Source organism: Homo sapiens, chromosome 3, assembly GCF_000001405.40.
Source record: "Homo sapiens chromosome 3, GRCh38.p14 Primary Assembly".
NCBI classification, from domain to species: Eukaryota; Metazoa; Chordata; class Mammalia; order Primates; family Hominidae; genus Homo; species Homo sapiens.
In genome coordinates, this window is record NC_000003.12 from 190350450 (window position 1) to 190372510 (window position 22061).

The following is a 22061-nucleotide window of genomic DNA, read 5'->3' on the forward strand; positions in this document are numbered from 1 at the left end:
TTTTGAAAAGCAACTAAGAATTGCTAATTTTGATTTTATAATGTTGAAAAAAGTATTCGATACCAAAATCAAGAGAACATGCAAAGGTCATGAAAAATATCACAGGTAAAGGGAAAGGCCTCTGGAGTCAGGAATGTACAAGGATGAATTTCAGCTCCACCATTTAACTAGCTGTGGCAGCCATGAGAATGCACCTTCCAGACCTACAGGCAGCTTAATTGACTGGGCTCAGGCTACTGGCATTGAAACCTATTACTGTGTTTGGGTTCAGGCCATAACTTCCTTAGGCTTATCTGACCAATGACTGAGTATAGAGGAAATACTAGGCTGACCTGTTCCTGGGAGTTAGGCAAATCTTTTATCATTGAGTTTGGCTCAAGGGTTCACTATGATTTTGCTCAAACTTCTTTAGTCTATAGACAATCTTTCCTCGCAGTCTTCTTCATTCTGGGCCAGACTTGCATTGTGGTCTGTGATATGGTTTGGAGGTGTGTCTCCGCCAAATTTCATGTTGAAATATGACCCCTATGTTTGAGTTGAGGCATAGTGGGAGGTGTTGGGTCTTGTGGGTAAATCACTCATGAATGGCTTGGTGCTCTCCTTGATTAATGAGTGGTAATTGAGTTCGTGGGAAATCCGGTTGTGTAAAAGACTGTGCACTCCCCCCCACCCCCTTGGTCCCTCTCTTGCCATATAGATAAGTCTGTTCATTTTCACCATCCACCTTGATTGGAAGCTTCCTGAGTCCCTCACCAGAAGCACAGGCTGTCACCATGCTTTCTGGACAGGCTGCAGAACCATGAGCCAAAAAACCTCTTTTCTTTATGAATTACTTAGTCTCCGGTGTTCCTTTACAGCAATGCAAAAGGAACTGAAACAGACTGTTTTTTTTTCCCAGCCTTCTCCAGCTCTATTTCTATTTTCTTCAGCATAAGTGCTTCCTTTACTTAAATTTACACATTTAATCCCATCTTGAGAGCTGCTTCTTGAGAACCCAGATTAACACAATAGCCTCTCTGAGTCTCAGTTTTCTCATGTGTAAAATGTAACCTAGTCCATAGGATTGTAGTAATATTTAAACAAACCAGTGAATTTAAAACAAAATTGTACAGTGACTGCCATTTAGTAAACATTGAATTAATAGAACATTTTATTATTGTTGTTGTTATTATTACTTTTTAAGGTTTTTATTTTTTTAAGTCAAAATCATGAAACATATTAGCAGATATTGGGCTGAAGATTATCTGTTGCTGGGGAGAAATAGAGGTAAACAGATGGAAAACAAAATAACCAAGAAACAAACTAGGTAAATAATTAATGCAAATATTGCAGTCAAAAAATCACAAAAACTTAACGTTATTTTATCTATTAGCATTCTAAAAGGAAAGGTAATATTGACTATAGGGCCACTGGGAATTATATTCTCTTTTAATTGTGGAAACATTCAAGAGTATTCAAGTTAAACTGGACCATTTTCTCCCAGATATAAATCAGAATATCAGGGAGAGCTCTAGCAAGTACAGCAAAATGTTTTTCCTGGCTTGAATTATCCCAGTAATTGCATATATTCTGCATTTTGCTTAGGTTGAGAACACACAGGTAATTAATGGTCTTAATTTGACAGTGATTATAATTTTGGAATCATGCTTTTCTAAATATTATTTGTCTGAAACTAGAAGGCAATTGAAAAAGTTTTTTTTTTTTTAAAAAAAGACAAATAAATTAGTAAAACAATAAAAAAGGAAGGGGGATCAGGATAGCTTCTTTACAACTTCAAACATAATTAACAATTTTAAAGAGTAAGAAAAGTTTGCCAAGTGAATTTAGTTTTTCTTTTTCTAGATATTGTGCCTGGTACATATAAATTCTCAGTAAATATTTGTTGTATTTAATTATATTGGAATAGCTCAGAAACAGAATATGTGATTGGAATTGTCTTTATTTAGATCTGTCCTAAAGCAGAAGGATAAACAAGATTAACATTCCAGGTCATTTCTAGCTTTAGGAATATTTATGACACTATTTTGAAATGTTTATTCTAACAGTAAATTCCACTTTCTGTAGCAAAGTGCTATTTGAATTTTGTATCTCAGGCAGAGCTAATCAGGTTAGCTACTAATCATGTAATTAGAAATCAAAGTAGCTATGGTTGCGAAAAGTCGCACAGAAAACTGCTGTATTTGAATGTGACAATTTTCTTTTTCTCCGTGTCTCATTAGTATAAGCAAAAGCTACTATTCTAGAACATCAAAAGGTCCTTGAAACATTGCAGTTGCTTTCAGAATAGTTTGGGGCCTCCAAAGAGAATCTCGTAGAATTTATCGGGGCTCTGTTGTTTTCTCAGAAAAAAAAAAAGGATAAAAAAAACCTCTTTTCTTACATCAACTGTATAAGCAGTGAGTAGATCACTGGTTTTAAACAATTAGGATAGTGCTAAATTATTTCATATTTCCCTTTCCTCATTTTTCCACCCTTCAGAAATAGGTGTCAAACAGACTTGAATGTTATCCCAGCTCAGTATCTAGAAGCTTTATGGCCCTTAAGTACAATTTAATTTCCTCCTCAGCTCTTAATAAAATACGCAACCAATAGTAAGTGTTCATTAATATTTGCTGAGTAAGTGATTTTGTAAAATGGGATAAACATAGTACCTACTCCAAAGAGTTATCATGAGCATTAATACAAAGTCACAGAGACTGCCACCCAGTCAGCAATCCTGTAAGTTGCTAATTATTATATTATTAACTGTAAGACTATGCCACCTTCATCCAAAATTCAGAGTGACCTGCTGTGAGCAATTTACTTTCACAACCCCTTAACTGATCTCTTTGCTTTCAGTTTCTTCTCTTCAACCTACTTTCCACACCATACCAAAGTTATTATGTCTAAAATATAAATTTTATCATGATGAGTGCACCCAGCTTCCAATAGCTTCCCATTGTTTATGGCAATGGCTTTCAAAGTCATTTGGTCACCCAATCCTAATAAAAACATAAATAAATGAATAAAGCATGTACCCCAGGAATATGTATATTTAATTATTTAGTTATGTCTATGGACCACAAGTTTGTGTTATTAAATCTTAAATGAAGTTGTGATCAAGATGAAATAAACACTAGTTTAAAGGTTTTCTTACATGGCTTTATTTTAACATTCAAGGCACAATATACACTTAAGAGTCGTTCAAACAATTGAGATATTAAATCATCCTCTTGATATTTAATTCATTTAGTTATCTATAGTTGGCTTTACCAGACCTTTCTGTATCATCATTTTTATTGATAAGTTGCTGACAAAGAGCTGGTTCTAGTAGTAAAAGTGACAGCCCTCCTTGTCTCATGGAGTTTGCCTGTTCTTAACATTATTCATCTTACCTTCAACTCATGGTTTCTGTACTAGTTTCCTGTGGCTGTTGTAACAAATTACCACTAACTTGGTGGTTTAAAGGAATGGAAATTTGTTCGCTCCCAATTCTGAGGGCCATAAGTCAAATCAGTTTCACTGGGCTGAAATCAAGGTGTTTGAGGACTGCACTTTCTCTAGAGGGTCTAAGGAATCCTTTCTTTGCCTCTTCTAGCTTCTGCTGGCTGCCAGCATTCCTTGGCTTTTGACTACATCACTCCAATCTCTGTCGGTTATAGTTATGTTGCCTTCTTCTATGTCTGTATTGAATCTCTCTCTCTCTCTCTTTTATAAAGATACTGGTGACTGCATTTAGGTCTCATCTTGATAATCATAGTTGCAGAGGCATTTTTTGGAGTATAATATTAACACTCAGAGGTTTCAGGAATAAGGATGCAAATATCTTTTAGGGAACTATTATTTTGTCAACCACAGTTTCTTTGCAGGAATGTTTAATAAAGGTGTGATAGGTAGAATTCTGAAATGATTCCCAAGATTTCATTTCCTGGTGTGCCTACCTTGTATATTAATTTCCCCTTTTACGGAGGTGGAACTGTCACATGATGGATTTCATTTTTAATTACTTTATATAAAAAGGGATTTTGAAGACACACTCTTTTCTTTATGACACTCTTGTGCTGTCTTCGTGTTCTCTTGATGGCAAGACTGGTGAACCAATCATTGTATCCTGATGCCTGGACCACAGTCTGAGATGGCACGTGATCCAGTCTGGCCAATAAGAGACATTTCTACTTTTTAAAAGTGGTGCAAATTGGGCAAAATTTTGTTTTCATTGGTTGTGAGATTATGGGGAATGTTTCACAAGAAGAGATTCAGAGCCAAGCCTAGGACTACTTGAAACCTTATAGTTTCAGGCTTTGTGGCGTTTCTGCCGTTAAAGAATGAAGCAAACAGCTAGCGAGAAGCAGGGAGAAGAGATGGGAAACCCTAAAGGGTTGAATACCCTGAACTTGGATGTCCCTGATATTAGATCCATTCCTGCCCTTTCTGAAACCTCTGCTTTTTTATGTGATGTCATAAAATCTTTCCTTTTGCTCAGAGTAACTGTGTTTTTATACACCTTACCATGTCAAGTGCCTAACAAGTGGTTTGGCTCACAGAAAAGGTCAAAGTATTAGTTCAATAAATCAACATTATTCTAATGGTTTTTTCTTGGCACTGTTATATTCATCTGAAGAAAAGTAACTAAAAAATGTCTAACACACAAAAAGCATTTCAAAGTTATTTTTAGAGCTCCTTTTTCTTCAAATTACACTTACACACAACAAAACCTCCTGGTAATCTGGTCTCTCTTTCTCACACCATTATTATATACTTTTAGAGATAATTAAATGTCTGTGATAAACAGGGTTTGTCGTGGCTAGACTAAGAATCATTTGTTTTTTAGTTGTTGATGTCTTTAACTTTGTTTTTTTAATATATTCTAATTCACACCAAAATATTGATTTCTGTGACTTTTCTTTACCTCCACCTTAGCCAAATACTTAAAAATTATTGGCCTGTTAAAAATCCCCAAGTCCTCTTCTTTTCTCTTCAAACTTTTGATTTTGGACTACAAAAGCAATGTTCTATCGACTCTATTTTTCTTTTTGGAAAACTTTCTAATTAAAACTACTTGAGAAATAATTTTGTAGAATGACCCACCTTTTCTCTAGGATAATTTAAACTTCTTAAGAATTTAAAACAAAACATCAGATCTCAGATTATTAGAAAAATGTGTGATTTATGGACTTTACATGTCATTCTCTAGTAATCCTAGTAATAAATATTCTTGTTGTTACAATGTTTTATATGAAAAATTTCCTTGAGATCTTGTGAGAACCAATATAGAGCATTTTAATGGAATATTCACATGCATTGAGATTCTAGTGGTATGCACATAGCCAATGCCAGATTACCCATATAAAAGAAAAATAGCAATATAATTAATTATTGATATAGCTTAGATCAGGAAAAAAGTGAAGCATTTTTTTAGGTCCATACTTTGATTTCTCATTTCTGTGGGGTTTTTTGTTTGTTGGTTGGTTCTTTTATTTTTTTTAACTTCCTATGAAATATACCTGAATTGGTCAATTTTTACTTTTTAGAGTCTTTAACATGAAGAAAGTCAGGGTCACTAAAAACTGAACTGAGCCTAAAATTATTTTAGGTCCAGTTCAGATTTAGTGACTCTTAATTTCCTCTTGAAATTCAGGGTGAAGAGGAAGTTGAGGAAAATCAATATGATTTTTGCTGAAAAGAATAAAAGTCATCATTTTGGTAGGCTAAGCATATACAATTTTTTTTCAGGTTCCTATACCAAGAAAGTTTAAGTAATATATTAGTAATGACATCTTTAGATTATTTTTATCCTGCATTTTATGGAGTTAATAAAAAACAAGCTTGAATATGTCTCTACATTTTTTTTCAGACCATCCCAATTAATTGCTGAAAAAATACTGCTATAATAAGTGTGATAAGATCTGAAAGTCATAAGTTTCAAATTTAGATGATTCTTGCTTGTAACAAAATGTTATATACACAAAGCATACATACTCATGTCTGGACAAATCTGTAGATTTTCAGACTAATGTGCATGTTGATGGAAAATTTTTGAACTGCCAGGCCCAAATACCACTGTGGTAAATTACCTGTCTGTGGTAAACCAAAGGCATGTTTATCTAAAATAATTAGATGGCCCTTCCTCAATCTGATTTAAAACCCAATGTTATTCATACTAAAACATATAAAATAATTTACTTTGTAATAAAGCTGGCATTTAAAAGCAGTAGGGATATAATATTCAATGAGTGATATTGAGATAGCTCTCTATTTTGAAGAAATAAAGTTTTATCTTTCCCTTATACCATAATGTCCTACTGAAATAAATATTCCATGCTATAAAAGAAAGAATTATTATTACAACTATGGATAAGTTATATAATTTTGAAACATAATGATTGCAGATATCATAATATTTAGGTTGAAAATATTTTATTATTCAATTATTAAAAGTTATGTAATATTGCCTTCAAATTGCAAAATTATCCCATGTGAACTAATATACAAAGATTCTAATGGAGTTGGCATATAATTCGCTATGTAGATTATACACAGCCTTGCATTTTACATTCTCAAAAGATGAAAATCAGTGTTCACTGTTAAAAATCCTGTGGATTATTACCTGATATATTCAAAGTATATGTCATTATATCCACTTTAAAGCTTTAAAGGTACTCAAATTAATCACAGTCCTTATTTTTGGAACTCAAAAAGAAGTCGTTTTCATTTTTACAGGGAATGTTCCTACAGGATTAACATCCTCCTATGAGTATGTCCTAATGCAGAATTTTGGCAGAGTTCTGTAGATGAGCTTCTAAAATAGAAAACTTTCTAAAACTTGCAGATCTGGGATCAGAAAAACACAACCTTGAATCTACCTGATCATTAAGCCAGGCCCTTCTCTAACTGAGAACTCGTAATTTTGGTTTGAAAATTTTCTCATATTCACTGTGTCCTCTCTCCTTACAGCCAATACTTTGGTTCAAACACTCTTTATTTTTGCCTGGATTAACATAACAACTCTTTAACTCTTCTTTCACCTTTGTTCATTTTCCTTTCCTCATTCTAGTTCCTCTTCTGTGCTTCACCTCTGCTCTTGAGGGATCTTTCTAAACTTCAAATGTGACCCCTAAGGAATTCCAATTTTCCAAAGACTAAAGTCCAGTTCCTCAGTATGATACTGAAAGTTCTTCCCAAAATAATTTAAGCTTACCTTTCTCACTCCTACACCACACCCTGCACACTTGGTATGTTGACTGTGTTTTTCCTCTTTCACAGGTTGGTGCTTTACTCGTGGTTTCCCATCAGCCCAGATTGCAAATGTACCTCTTTCTTGCTGTTGCTAAATCTTTCTATGCTTGTAAAATCAAACCACAGCCTGCCTAAAGCCATCTTTGGGTCTGTATCGGTTACATTTTCTTCTCCATAATCCCCAAGCACTTCAGACTAGTCTCATGGTCCTTGTTACACGTTAATTTATATTGCATATGTGTCTTTCTGCCACAATTTGTAAATTCCTTCACAGGAGAGATTGTTTGTTTTACTTTCATATTTTTTATATTCCCCTGGGTCATGGGAACTAGCACAGAGGTCTGGTAGTAGGACTTCAGTATGTATATATAGAATAGGATTCTAAAAATGAGACTGACTGGCACGTATTGGTGGATAAGCAGTATTACGAAAAAAAAGAAAAGAATCTGGATCTTAAACTCTGGTCTCTTTCCTTTTTATGTTTCTTCCACAAATAAGAATAAATATAATTTGCTTTGTGATTTAGGAGAAATGCTTTTTTTTCTTTTTCCCTCAAATTTCTGTAAGCCCAGAGTGTGACTCTGTGAATTTTATGTCATAATAAGAGCCGCTGAGAGTTACCACAAGGATACCAGAAATAAAGCATGCATTATAAAGCATGTCTTCTCTAATAATTTAAAAAGAATATCTAATCATGAGTGCATTCATTTCTCCAATTCAGCAGCTTTCAAGTACGAATGACACATAGGACTGAATACTTCAAGTGGAATAAAAATCAGACTCGTCCCTCCTGAGTACAAACACACGGATCAGTCAGACAGAAAGATTCACTCTGTGAATTCTCTACCACACACAGAGGGTAGACTGGAAAGCAAAAGCATCACTAGGGATAACAGCAATTGTAGGATGATTGCAAATTGTGTAGGATTTTGCAGTAAGAGCTGGCTGTTTATTCCCAAGATTTCATAATTAATCTCCACAGTAAACTTTTCCTGCAAAATTAAAAAAAACAACAAGTTTATTGCTCAGAGCTTCAACAGGCTAATATTGTATTAGACAACTAATGATGACCTAACCCATCATACCAGTCTGCCTAAATTGAAATTCAATGGACATAGTTTTTTCATTAAATCCAATTCTGCTGCAGACCATGTTTCTTCCCATTGTTACCCTTGGAAGGACATCAGTAGTTACTGAAAGATATAATCCAATTTAATGGGTAAATTTTCCTAAATAAGAGGCCTTATGGCCTTTCCTTTGAAAAATATTCATAGTTCAGGACATTACTGAAACCTAATTTATTATTTTTTTAAAGAATAAAATTATTCAAATTGCAGAAGGCTTCATTCTGGGCTTTCTGATATTCTATTGTTTTGATACATGTATTTACTCAAGTTAATAAACTTTTCTTATAACACAGTATGATTTGTAATCAGGGCATTTGTTTTCTGTATATAAATTAATGATTGGAAAATGCTACAATTTGGTCATTCAAGTGTTTTAAGCATCTCCTGCAACTGCAATCTTGTTTGCATTACAATTTGTCTTATTTCTGGCAAAAGTTTTGATGAACAAAAATTATCATCTATTTTGCTCCTGAACAAATGACCTTAACATTTAAATTCAGACATTACACACCTTGCATGAAGGACTTCCAAATTTGACTCTCTTAATGCCTATGCAGTATTGTCACTCAGTTTCTTCCACATATGTTGGAGTTCTAGCTCTATGTAAGTGTTCAGTAAACTCTAATTGAATTAAATGAGTGGAATCCAGTGCAGCTTTATTGCAATCCTACAGTTGTTTCTAAAGGTAAATGAATATAATGCTTCATTTTTTGATGTTTCTTATCCTGCTTTGTAAAAAACTGTATCTTTAGTCAACTATCACCTAGTGAAAAGATTTTAAATGTTAACATTAGTACTAAGTACAAAGAGGATATACAATGCTCAATAAAACCCTGTTCCTTACAGTCCAATGGTTGAGTCAGACAGGTAATATTTACAACTAATGTGATCTGTGCTTGTTCAAAGTAGCATGGGAGCACTGAAGAAGAGTGCTTCAGCGAGCCAGGTCTTAGAGGATAAATTCCCAAAGCAGAGAAAATGGTTAGAATATTTCTTAAATAAGAAAGGTAGGTCTAAAGATGCAAACAAATTAAAGAGAAAGAAATGTTCAGAAACTTCTGAAATTTGATGTGACTAGAACTTGTGGCCTAAAAGGAGCTATGAGGCTCGATGTGAAGAAACATGGATCTCGAGTTTTGGCACTGAAAGGTATTTGAATGCTTCTCTTGGCCAAGATGACACTCTGGCTAGGGCTGGAATTCTTAACTGGGCTGGTTGAAGCTATGTTGGGTTGGGCTGAGCTGAGACTGAGGCTTGGCTGACCCTTGGTCTTTAAACTGTAGAATGAAAAAGAAACTGACTTTGTTATTTAGAGCAAAGTAGGCAAGAAACAAAGAAACTTTGCAAACCAAGTATAGATGCCCAAAGAAATACAACAAACAGTAGAGGTCTAGTCCAAGGCAGAAGATATACAAAATTCTCTAAAATAGTATAAACTGTTTCCAGGGAGGAAAATAGGAACATTTTCTAAGCTTCCGATATTCAGCCCCAGTCCTTCTTTTATTGAGAGGAGGCCTGAAACCTCACATTTAGGTGGGAGAGAAACTAGTAAAGCAATAAGGATTGCACAAGCTGAGTTTCATGTCAAGGTTTGGGTTTTAGAAAGATTTATCCGGTGTGACATGTGAGGGAGTGGAGGCAGGAAGACCATTTTAGGAAGTCTTCTCAATCATCAAAATAAGAGATAATAAGAAACTCAACTGGTGTAATAGCAGAGTTGAAATAGGGAGGATGAATGTGATAAGAACAAAATGTAGCTAGAGTTTTCAGTCCATTTGTATTATATTCCATTACATTATTAATTATAATGTAATTATTTGTTTGGTTGAACATCAGCCAGTATCTTGGTATTCTTTTATTTTTTTCCCATTCTATTCTTTGTTCTCTTTTTCCTCCTTTCCTGCTTTTCTCGGATTAACTTTTTTTTCTCCATAGAGTTCCATTTAGTTTCCTCTATTGCCATTTTGTCTATTTCTTCTTGTTTTGACTTTTATTTTGTTTTTATGTGGTTGCTCTACTGCATATTTAAGAATATACATTCTTAGATTAGTATTGTCACCTTTGGAATAATACTATAGTACCTCACTTACAGAGAACTTTACAAAAACATACACATATTTACCCCCACTGTTCTTTGTGCTATTATTAAATGTGATAAACTCCATAATACGTTGTTATTGTACTTGCTTTAAACCATAAAATTATTTTTTAAGAATTTAAGAAATTATGTTTAGTGTAGGTTTACTGGGAACTAATTCCTTCAATTTTATTTATGTTAAAATGTCTTTATTTTAGCTTTTGAAAATAAAGAGCAAAGAAACTTGAACACTTCAATGTAATAATATGATTTCATTCTTTCATTGAGTCAGTAATTACCCAGCACCCACTATGTGCTAGTCACTCAATAGGCACTGAGAGCTCACAGTCTTTATACTGTTTGTAAATGCCCATTAGCAATTGGCTTTAACTATTGCATTATCTCAGTTAGTCCTTAGTGAAAGTGCCTTTGCAAAAACTGTAACTGAGGAAATTATGACAGTGAAAGGGATCAGACCTAACCGACGCCATCTTGCCTTTAACCTGTAAGCTGTTCTTGTTCATTCCTGAGCGTAGGCTGAACTAACCAAAGAAAGGAATTTAGTTTATGGTTTGACTCTGAAACAAAATTGATAATAGCCCTTCCCTGAAAAGACTCCCTTCTTGACTTGGCACCAGTCGGCCTTCGTAGGACTAACAAATTAGCTACAAGATTAGAAATTATGGTTTAGGGGTCATGCTGCCTCTGGCTGCAAAAGTCTGAATGCCCCCAAATTGCTCCTGGAGATAACATTGATACAAGAGGTAGATAGAAATTATTTAGGCAGAAAGTGAGGGCAAAAGAGTCCTTGGCAGAGCTTCCCTTCTAACAAAAAGCAGCCCAAGAAATCATTTTTTTTTTCTAACAAAGAGCAGCCTGAAAAATTGAGCTGCAAACATAGATAAACAAGCTGGAACCTTGCACAGGGGAATTCCAGCAGCTGTGCCAACAGAAAAGGGCTAGCTGGGGGCCAGACATGTTCAACTGGGGGCTCCATCTTTCCTTTTTTTGTTACCACTTGTACTGTAATAAAGAAATGGGCAATATGGCACAGCTCAGAGAATCCACCTGCGTAATAAAAGATAAGGGTGGGGGCTACCAGGGATTAGTGCCCTATACAAATGGCACACCTGGTCTAACCAGTCTAACCTGGTCTAACCTGGTCTAACCTGGTCTAACCTGTGTAAATCAGACAGCACCTCCTCACCAGCTCATCTATAAAACCCCTTGCATTTGAAGACCCATTTTTCTGGGACTCCTCTTTTTCACCTATTAAACCTCTGCTCTCAACCTCACTCTTTGTGTGTCCATGTCCTTGTTCTCCATGGCTGTGAAAGAACGAACCCTGGGTGTTACTCCAGACAGTGAGGCCATTTCAGCATCACTATTGTAAAACCTAAGATCAGTGCTTGAGATATTTTGCAGACCCTCATTCCATCGAACAGCTGACACCACCCAAGCCAGTAATCTGACTCAATCAGTTCTGCGATCCCACCCAGGAACAGAAGACAGCAAGAAAACCTCACTTCGACCCCCTCTGTGATTCCACCTTCAACCTGACCAGTCAGCACTCCCCACTTCCTGAGCCCCTACCTGCCAAATTATCTTTAAAAACTCCGATCCTCAAATGCTCAGGGAGACTGATTTGAGTAATAATAAAACTCCAGTATCCCGCAGAGCTGGCTCTGTTTGAATTACTCTTTCTCCATTGCAATTCCCGTGTCTTGATAAATTGGCTCTGTCTAGGCAGCCGGCAACGTGAACCAGTTGGGCAGTTACATTAGTTCGCCTTCATTTTTTGAAGAATATTTTCAGTAAATAAAAAATTGCAAGTTGACTTTTTGTTTTAATTAGCTTTATTTCAAAATGAATCTATTTTCAGACCACAGTTGACTGCAGATAACTGAAACCTTGAAAAGCAAAACTGTTAATAAGGGTAGGCTACTGTATTTATATCTCTGTCTCCCTATACATTATATGTTTTCCTGTTTTGTTGACTTTATTTTTCCTTTGTCTGTGGGCTCTTTTAAGATGCTCACCTTAGTTTTGGTTTTGGGAAAGTAATTGAATATGTGTACTTTGTATTTTTTCTGCTTCGGTTTATTGAACTTGCATATGTGCATTTTTTAAAAAATCAAATTCAAAAATTTTTTCAAGCGACTATTTTTAAAATGTATTTTTATCTTCCAATTTCTCCTTTCCTTCAGAGACATCAATTACAACCATTCGATATTAATTCCAAGGGCACTAATTTTTCTCCAGAATTTTTCTTTAGTTTCCATTGTAGTTCAGGTGATTTTTATTGCCCTGTTTTCTAGGTCATTATTTTTTTCTTTTTGACTGTTCAATTTGCTATTGACACCATTCAATGAATTTTCTAATTTCAAGTATTGCATATCTTAGTTACAGGCATTCTAGCTGGTTGTTTTTCTACAACTCCCATTTATCTCTTTAAACTGGTCCATTTTTTTCATTCATTCAATCTGTCTTTACCTGTAAATGCTTTACCACATTTTTAATTGTTATTTTAAAGTCTTCATCTTCTAATTCCAATAAATAGGTCTGGTTTATATGTAGGTTCACTTCTACAAACTGTTTTCTTTTGATTGTTGGTCACATATTTCTGCTTCATTGACTGTATAATAATTTTTTATTAAATTCCAGTTGCTGTGCGTGTGTGTGTGTGTGTATATATATATATATATATATATATATATATATATATATATTTTCTTTCTCCTGTCTGGCAATTAGGGTGAGATATAGATCAATTAGTTACTTGCAAGAGTTGAGTTGAGCTGCAGCTGTAGCTGTAGATAAATTGTACTTACTATTGATGTTAACGGCCTATTTGGTTGTTTAGTGTCTTTTACACAGTGGGTTTTCTCTGATGGATCCCACTGGATTAACATGTGATCCGAAGATCATATTTTGCACCTACCCGGATAGATTCATCCTCATGTCTCTTTCCTATTCTCTTTTTTCTCAAATCTAATCTTCCTCCAGACTTCTGATCATTTTCCACTATCCTTGAATGTGTGTATATTCTTACCAGGAATTATTTCTCTTAAAAACAAAAGGTGAAGTATCAATTGTATTGCCTGAAGAATTCTGCCTGCCTAATTGGAGATTGTCTTCTCACTACTATCTTTTAGTGTAATCCTGAGTGAGGCTGTAGTGCAGAATGGTCCTTTTTATTTTTTTTGGATTGCACTATAAATTAAGCCAAACCAATACATTTGTGAACAAAGCTTATCCTTTTTCCTCGTCCTTCAGCCAGATAATAGGACACCCACATGTGAGTACAGTTTGGTTGAGGGAGATGTAGCAGTATTGCAGTGGTATATGGCTTGGGAGTCTGGGCCAGATAATAGGACACCCACATGTGAATATAGTTTGGTTGAGGGAGATGTAGCAGTATTGCAGTGGTGTATGGCTTGGGAGTCTGGATCACCCGTTCATGTAGCTCTTGTCCTGTACATGCCATCCTGGATGTACCTCTTCTAACAATAAACTGCTATAGATCTGGCTGATCTTATGACTTTGTGGTTCTGACAGAACATAGCTCATGATGAGCTGCTGATGGGTAGCTCTGGCCAAATGGTTCCTGTTGTCCCACGGGTAGATCCTCCATCTCTACCAGATCCCAGCTGCATAACAAGGACTACTTTTCAAATGGTGTTTACTTCTCTGCTGCCGATGGTATGACTGGCCTTGCTTTAGGGCCCTGGGGATTTCTACTGTGGTTCTCTAATTGCAACTTACACTTCTAGTAGCATTAGGGTCTGACTGGCTCAAGTGGTAAGGCTGCCTGCACTGCAGTCTAGAACTTTCGAAGAGCCCTTTATCGTGCTGGGTCCACTCAAAGCTGCCAGTCTTGAATGTCACTTTGTAAATAAGTCAAAGACATATTCCCAAATGTGGAATATGCTGTCTCAAAGAGGGGAGCTGAGCGTTGTCTTTTTTTTTTTCGAGGTGATTATATCGGCACGCCCCACGTCACAGAGCCCCTCAAAACTTCGCTGACATGGCAGACCCCTGAGTATTTTAGGGCTTCTCTTCACCGGGATCTGTCTCTTCTTTTTTTTCTTTAGTCAATGGATACTTGTTTTGAGAACTGGCTCAGATATGAAAACTAGAAATTTTACTGGGAATTTGCTCTCAGCCCCCTGTTTATCCATCCTTAATTTGTTTTGCTTATGTGCACTAAGTAACACTCTTTTTGGCTGTTTATCTCTTCCTAAGAACACTACGGTCTATTAACTATCTTCACAGGTCTCATGTTTCCTGGCTGCCACTCTGAACTTTACAATCATTATATGTCCTTGCATCAGGTGATTGATCAGCACCACTGGCCTATGTTCTTTTGGGATTCTCTGTTGTTACCAGAGAGCTCATTCTGTAACAGCCTTCCCTGCCGTCAGTCCTGGCCTTCTCAGGATAGCCACCACTTATCTTTTCAGCTATTCTGATGCTGCACCCACCAGTGCACTCTTTATTGTATTGGCCAGTGAAGTGTCTTTTGGATTCTTCCATAGAATATAGTTGGATGGTGGGCTTCCAGCCTTAGGTGGTATGACCATTTTGCTATGCACACTTCTTTACGCCTTTTGATACTTTTTGGTCACCATCTTCCGTGAAAGTTCTAGTATTTCTACTTCATCTAGTATGAGCCATCTTTTTTCCCAAACTTCCAAGAACCAGCCTCACAACTCTAATACTATTTTCCAGGATCCTTGACCAAGTATTAAATCTTGTATCACAGAAGAACGATCTGAAATCAAGCAACTCTCCCTTAGATATCTTTGTGTTTTACTAATCTCCTTTTATTTAGCACCATTAGAACTCTTAGGGTCCAGTATATACACAGTCTCCCAGATTCGCCAGTCTATTTTGTCTAGGTCTGGCAATTTATTCACCATTGTGTTCCATTCCTCCCCTAGCCGACCCAGTTCTTTTCAGCCAGGTATGGTGTGACTTAACCCTGCTTGTTAGCCTAGAGGAGAAGTGTTAGTATATTCAAAGTTCGAGTGGGTATATGTTGCCTTGCAAGGCACAGGCCTCTACATAATTCTTAAGCAAGGGGGAGCACTAGTCTTTAACTTGAAGAAATGGGCCACTCTTACAACCAGAGAGGATTCATGTTCGGAAAGCAAGTTTGTAAGTACATCAGCCCAGATATTGCCTTCTCAAGTTTAAAGATCCTACTTCTCAATCAATGCTTTCTGGAGCTCTTAAGTCCTGGGCCTGCTTTTATTGTCCCTGCAGCTGTGGGAAATGAGAGTATTTTTGTATGCCGCCTCTGACATTTACCTTAAATTGGTAATTTAAATTAGGATTTATAGCTTTTAGGCTTTCATTTTCTTTCTTTCTTTCTCAAAATGTATGACATGTTGCACCATCCATGTATTACTTTCCAACATTATGCCAGCCAAGTTCATCACCAGTGAAACTTTTAACAATGCCACTGACACAGCATGCCAACGCTATGAGTAATCCATCTACTCCACTGACAGGGTCTTCATTTCCAGCTGGTTAGTAGGTGATCTAACTTTTTAAAAAATCCCATTTTAAAGATTGTATCTTAGGCCCACTCCTGATACCAGTGGTCTTAAGTCACATTCCCTGGGGAAACAGACTCTCAACTGGAGACTTAGAAGCAGGAGATTTACTAACCAGTGCTCATCCAAACACACCTGTAAAAGGGTGAGAGTAAGACTGGACAGAGAGAAAAGTTAAACTTTGATACACTTACAAAAACACCTTGGCCAATCCCCCATGGAGCTCTGTGTTTGGGATGACCCTTCAGAGTTGACCCAAACTGGGGGAAAGGACCGTGACTCTCTTTTCTACGTCCTGAGATGTGGGCTGCTTTCCAGGAGGGAGGGTATCCTTAGGAAAGAAGCTCCCTATAACAGAGCAGTCGCTAGAGAGGATCTCAGTTTTGAGCAATCAGCATCTAAGTCTCCCAGCAGCTTTGGGGAGTATCTTATTCCTGCAGAGGGATTTCAGAAACATACCATAGCTTCTGCTTTATTTGATATAATATGAGCTGAGACCTCCAAAATTAAGAATGTCTGATGTACACAAAGGCCTTAAAATTGCCCCAAAGCAGCATGTGGGAGTGTTCAAAGAACAAGATACATAAAAACATTCAAGATTTTAATTTTAGCACAACATTTTAAACCACGGGTTACTTTGAAATCCTTTTTATCTTTAGTCGACACTGTTTTTCATATCTTGCTCCCCTTTGATTAGAGACACTCATTTGTCATTCTGAAAGAAATGAATATTCTTTTCTTCTTTGTTTTATGATAGGATAATACTGTCTACTCTGATAACTCCGAAGGTTTGTATTTGACCATAGATATTAAAGTGCATAGTGAAACTTTAAATGTGATAGAAAGCAAGATAATCATTACTTCATGAAACAATCTTTCTATTTTGTGACCTTTTAGATAGTTGATACTTAATATTCAAAATTATAGGCATAAATTATCTTCCCCCTGGAATTTACTAGCACACAATATGAAAGCCATCAAACAGAAATTTGGCCTGTGAACTAGTGACTCAATACTACTTCTCCAGGGTGAATTTCTTCAGCGGGAAAATTCAATACCTGCCTGTTGAATAAGGAAGGAATATATAATATATTAGGATTAGAGGAGAATCAATGTGATCATGTTGCCCAAATGTCCGATTTATTATTTGTCAAAGAGTATTACACAGAACATACGGTCTGCAAAATTCATTGTTTTTAAATGGCTTTATTATGGAAAATGAAACCTTTTCTGTTTTGTTGCCTTAACTCTCTGGCCAAAGCCTACTTTATTGTGGAACTCCATGTAATTTATTAGAATTAGTAGAATATGTTTTATGCACTTTTGGCTCCATTTCTTTCTTGAAAATTTTTAGTATCAGCAAGGTGGAGTCAGAAACAATTGTATTAATTAATATGAAATATAAAGCTGTGGGCTGCAGTAGATACATTTTTCTTACATTCCCATAATCTTTCCTCCCCCTTTCCTTCCCAAAAGTCTCTGCAATCTGCATTTTGATTACATTCCCATAATCTTTCCTCCCTTTATCCTTTCCAGAAATCTCTGTAATCTGATTTACGTTGGGTCCTGATGTGTTGGGGAAGCTGATACTGCTCCTGGCTGCAGAGTGGCATACCTGGCTGTGGCAGGCAGCCTTTAAGATAGCCCTCAATGATGTCTGTCCTCTTTTGGTATTCATACACTGTACAGTTTGATCCCACATCCTGGGATAGCCCTGTGTGATCAATAGAATTCAGCAGAATTGATGATCTGTTACTTCTGAGATTAGGTTATCAGAAGACTGTGGCTTTCATCTTGAAAGCACACTCTGTCCCTCTGAACACTCTGTGGGAAGCCTATGAAGGGGCTCAAATGACAGGGATCTGATGATCAGACAATAACTGGTGAGGCACAGAGGTCCGCCAACAATGATGGAGTAGAATCAATTCTTTCCCCCATTGTGCCTTCAGATGAGACTATAGCCTTAGCCAACAGCTTGAGATCCTGAGTCAGAACCACACAACTAACATGATCCATAGAAAGAAATGATCCATAGAAATGTTTGTTGTTTTAAACTGCTAAGTTTTGGGGGTAATTTGTTACACAGTAGTAGATGTCTAATACAGTGATTTTGACTAAACCAATCAGTGTGTTTCATTCTTCTTGAAACAGTGATAGGAATAAAAGTGGACAAGTGACTTAAGTTCGTCAATTCAGAATGACTTTCAGGGTTTTGAAGGAAATTCTTGTACATGGATATTCTCCTATTTCCTGGATGGTTAAATGTGTGTATGAGGAGGCCAGAGTCATTCTGTCAGGACAAGGAAAACCAGCATGAAGACAAAGCTGTCATTCTGAAGAGGGTAGAGCATAAATAATTGGTTACAAATGCTTACAATTCCACCTTTCCTCTGTATTTTTTCCCTTTTCTAAGCTAGCCAAACCCTTTTATTGTTTAGACTTGCTTGATTTTGATTTTCTGTTGCTTGCTACTAAAGGCCATCCCAGTGTATACATAGGTAGAGGCCCTGCCTTTAAATGTTAACAAGCATCTTAGTTTATAATGTGTTATTAGACCAAAAATGATAGTCTTGTAAAACATCTTTCAGCCTCTGATCTCAAACAGGTAGTCATAGATCTTAACCTGATTAGCCCTCCTTTCCATTGTTCTGGGTTATGCAGTCTTGTGTCATGCTCCTTGAAAGACAGATTTTTTTTTCAACATATCACTGTTATTCAACTTATTTAGGTCACTACTAACTATTAAATCCTGCTGCCATATGCAAGTCTAATTTAGACCCCTTACTCAGAAAGTCACTGCCTCCAAGGAGACAGAATAAAGCAAGGTAACTTTCACTGGCCCATTGTACCCAGCCATGTCTTTTCTTTCCTCTGTAATGATTACCATTAAGGTTCCAGTTCTAGCATATCTTTTAACTGATTCATAAAGCTATTGTAGAGCTCAGATGAAATTGTTTATTGATCTGGTTTAGAGAAGCTGCTCATAAGAGAACATGCAGTGAGAAATTGCTATAATTTGATTACCATGTCATTTTTATTACACAACAAATATTCATTATAGAATAGAAAATCTAGATAAGCAAACCACTCCACCAATGAAAATAATCTGAAATGTCTCCATAAATTTGATGTACATTATCCTAGTCTTTTTCTAATAGAAATTGTATGTATATCTTAGAAAAATGAAACTTTACTAGTATTAGTTTTATATCATTTAAAAGTGTGTTATGAACATCGTTCTATGTCAACAAACATAAATATGTTTATTTGTTTATTGAGTCTTTTGTCCTTATAATCACTTTCTCATATACTTCTTTGTACTTATCTTTAGGGAAAACAGTGACTCAAGTTAATGATCATAAACAAAATCTTACGAAAGAATGGCTGAAAAACTGACTAAACCAGCCCTGGCTCTGTTTAGACTTGTTTGTTGCAGGGAGGAACTAAATATTATTTTCCCTTGCTTGAGTAAAAGGTCTGAGTAGATGAAACCTGTGATGTTTTCACAAACTGAGAATTGGCAAAAAGCCTTAATGCGAATTTTGTATTCCGAGAAAGGCTGAGACATACAGAGGACATTTGTTTTTACCCTAAATAGCTGACATTCTTTTATATGATAGGTATGACAACGTAGTAGAAAGGCAAGAGCACTAAATGGGCCATTAGGAAACCTGGGCTCTGAAACTGGAATTGTCACTAGCATTTCTGGAACGTTGAAAGGGTCTCTTTCCTTTTAAGAAATATCTTAGAAGCATTCTAGCTCTGCTATTTTAAGTCTCTAAGATTGGATTGAAAGATGTGGTGAATCATTAGGTGTAGGTTTTGCTTCTTCAGCTATTTCCATATAATCCTGAAAGTTATGCCATTCTCTAAAAGAAAGACAGTAAAGTAAATATTTCCTCAATTTATGTTGTATCTTTAGCTACCTACTTTATGAGCATACTCATTAACTTAAACTTAGTATTTTCCAAACAAATTTTAGTGAATGATTTGAGTGTCATACATCTTGGTTATCATCACTACCAAGTTAGTATCACTCATTACGGCTTGGTTGTAAAAATTTAGAGTTTCTAAATGTGGCCATGCTTGTTGTGCATAACTTACCTGCAGGGGTGTAATTCACATGGCTATGATCTGAATGATGAGCTAAACCTACGTCATGTGCAACCTGCAAAAAAAGTGTTTTGATTTTAAGTGCACTCATGACAGTTGTGATGGTTAATACTGAGTGTCAACTTGACTGGATTGAAGGATGCAAAGTATTGATTCCTGGTGTGTCTGTGAGGGTGCTGTTAAAGGAGATTAACATTTGAGTCAGTGGGCTGGGGAAGGTAGACCCACCCTTAATTTGGGTGGGCACCATCTAATCAGCTGCCAGTGTGGCCAGAATATAAAGCAGGCAGAAAAATATGAAAAGGCTAGACTGACTTATTCTCCCAGCCTACATCTTTCTCCTGTGCTAGATGATTCCTGCCCTCAAACATCGGACTCCAAGTTCTTGAGTTTTGGGACTCAGACTGGCTTTCTTGCTCCTCAGCTTGCAGATGAACTACTGTGGGATCTTGTGATCATGTGAGTTAATACCTTTATATATATATATATATATATATAAAATATATATGCATATATAAATTTATATAAACAAATATAAATGTATAAATATATAGGGTATAATATATATATATTTATCCTATTAGTTCTGTACCTCTATGGACTATCCTATTAGTTCTGTTCCTTGCAGATGGCCTATTGTTGGATCTTGTAATCATGTGAGTTAATACATATATATAGTATAATATATACATATTTAATCTATTAGTTCTGTCCCTTTAGAGAAACCTGACTAATACAACAGTTAAACATCTCATATAGGCAAGTAGATAGATATACATGAGTCATACATATGTGAGGGTTATGCTTGCTCATGATAATTTCTTTTTAGTTTCTCTGACTTTCCTGCTGTCTCACGCTTCCAAACCCTACACTTCGTAGGTTCACTGCCATGCCAGGATATAGGAACAAGTGCATCTCTATTAAGAAGGAACTTAATAAGTCATAGACCAATAGTCCAGGCAGAAGGAATCAGGTCAGACTCTGATGTTCTCAATTTTCCCACTAATGCCTGCTCTTGAAATTACATTCCCAGCCTGTTCCTTGGTACCCAAATTATTTGCTGGTTTCCTTCAAAAAAAAGTCAGATCTATGAAGTAGTGATTTTTGTCTATTTATTCACTGATATAATCCCAGGCTGGAGGAAAGCCTTGAATTAGGAGGTGATCCATAAATATTTGTTGAAGCAGTTCATTAATAAATATTCTGTCCAATTCAACTGGCAGCTGGTAATTTGCTCATTCCTGAACCCTAGTTCCAAGTCAGATGCTCAGTCTGCCAAAATTTCTGCCATTTTCCTTGGTTATGTAAATTGAGAGACACCAGATTCCCTGACACTGAAGCCCACATATCTGCTGTCCCAGGTCACCGAACATCTACCTGGCTGGGCTGTTGACTGCCCTTGGCCACCATAAGTTTTTGCGTCTGTGCTCTCTTTCTTGAGCTGTTTGCCCTCACATATAAGGGTGTCTTAGTCTGGCTCTGAGCACCTGCTCCAGTGTAAGATGTGTTTTATCTCAGGTCCCATGCCCTGTCTCACAGTCTTTCTCACTCCCCACTTAGGTCACATCCCAGCAGGATTAGCTATACTTGAGGCCGGCTAAGGATGAGTCTTGTATTTGGACAGCATTTGGAAATTATTTTTTTCAACCCAAGACTTGGAAAGCTTTGCAAACAGAGGGAGACACCACTGTCAGCCTCATTACCAACACTTTCAGGATAGACACCCAGCTCCTTCACATCCCTGAGAGTGGGGAAATTTACTGATGTTCTCTGAACTCCAGTTTCCTCACAAACAAACCAAAATTAGAGCTAGTATTGAGCCTGGCACAGTGGAGCCTACCTGTTTACCCAGATACTCAAGAGGCTGATGCTGTAGTATCACTTGAGGCCAGGAGTTTGAGACAAGGCTGGGAAACATGTTGAGACCCCCTTCCCCCCCAAAATAAAAATAATTTAGTTGGGCTTGTC

The 22061-nt window shown here is 36.5% G+C and overlaps 1 protein-coding gene across 3 annotated transcripts in view, besides 1 other annotated feature; it reads left to right on the forward strand.

The window, feature by feature from the left end:
• CLDN16 (claudin 16) overlaps positions 1-22061 on the forward strand; it is a 121778-nt gene that overhangs the window by 60089 nt on the left and 39628 nt on the right. For 2 of the 3 annotated variants that reach the window (NM_001378492.1, NM_001378493.1), the window contains one exon: positions 20444-20552. The exons of the other annotated variant lie outside the window; for it this stretch is intronic. The gene's annotated coding sequence lies outside the window, so the exon portion shown is untranslated. The remainder of the gene's footprint in view (positions 1-20443; positions 20553-22061) is intronic. 3 annotated transcript variants of the gene reach the window in all.
• Positions 11765-12326: an enhancer, noted in NCBI's record as "OCT4-NANOG hESC enhancer chr3:190080003-190080564 (GRCh37/hg19 assembly coordinates)". NCBI's record gives its function as "activates a minimal SCP1, AML or CMV promoter by ChIP-STARR-seq in naive H9 embryonic stem cells {active_cell/tissue: H9 hESC(naive)}" and the evidence as "EXISTENCE:reporter gene assay evidence [ECO:0000049][PMID:30033119]".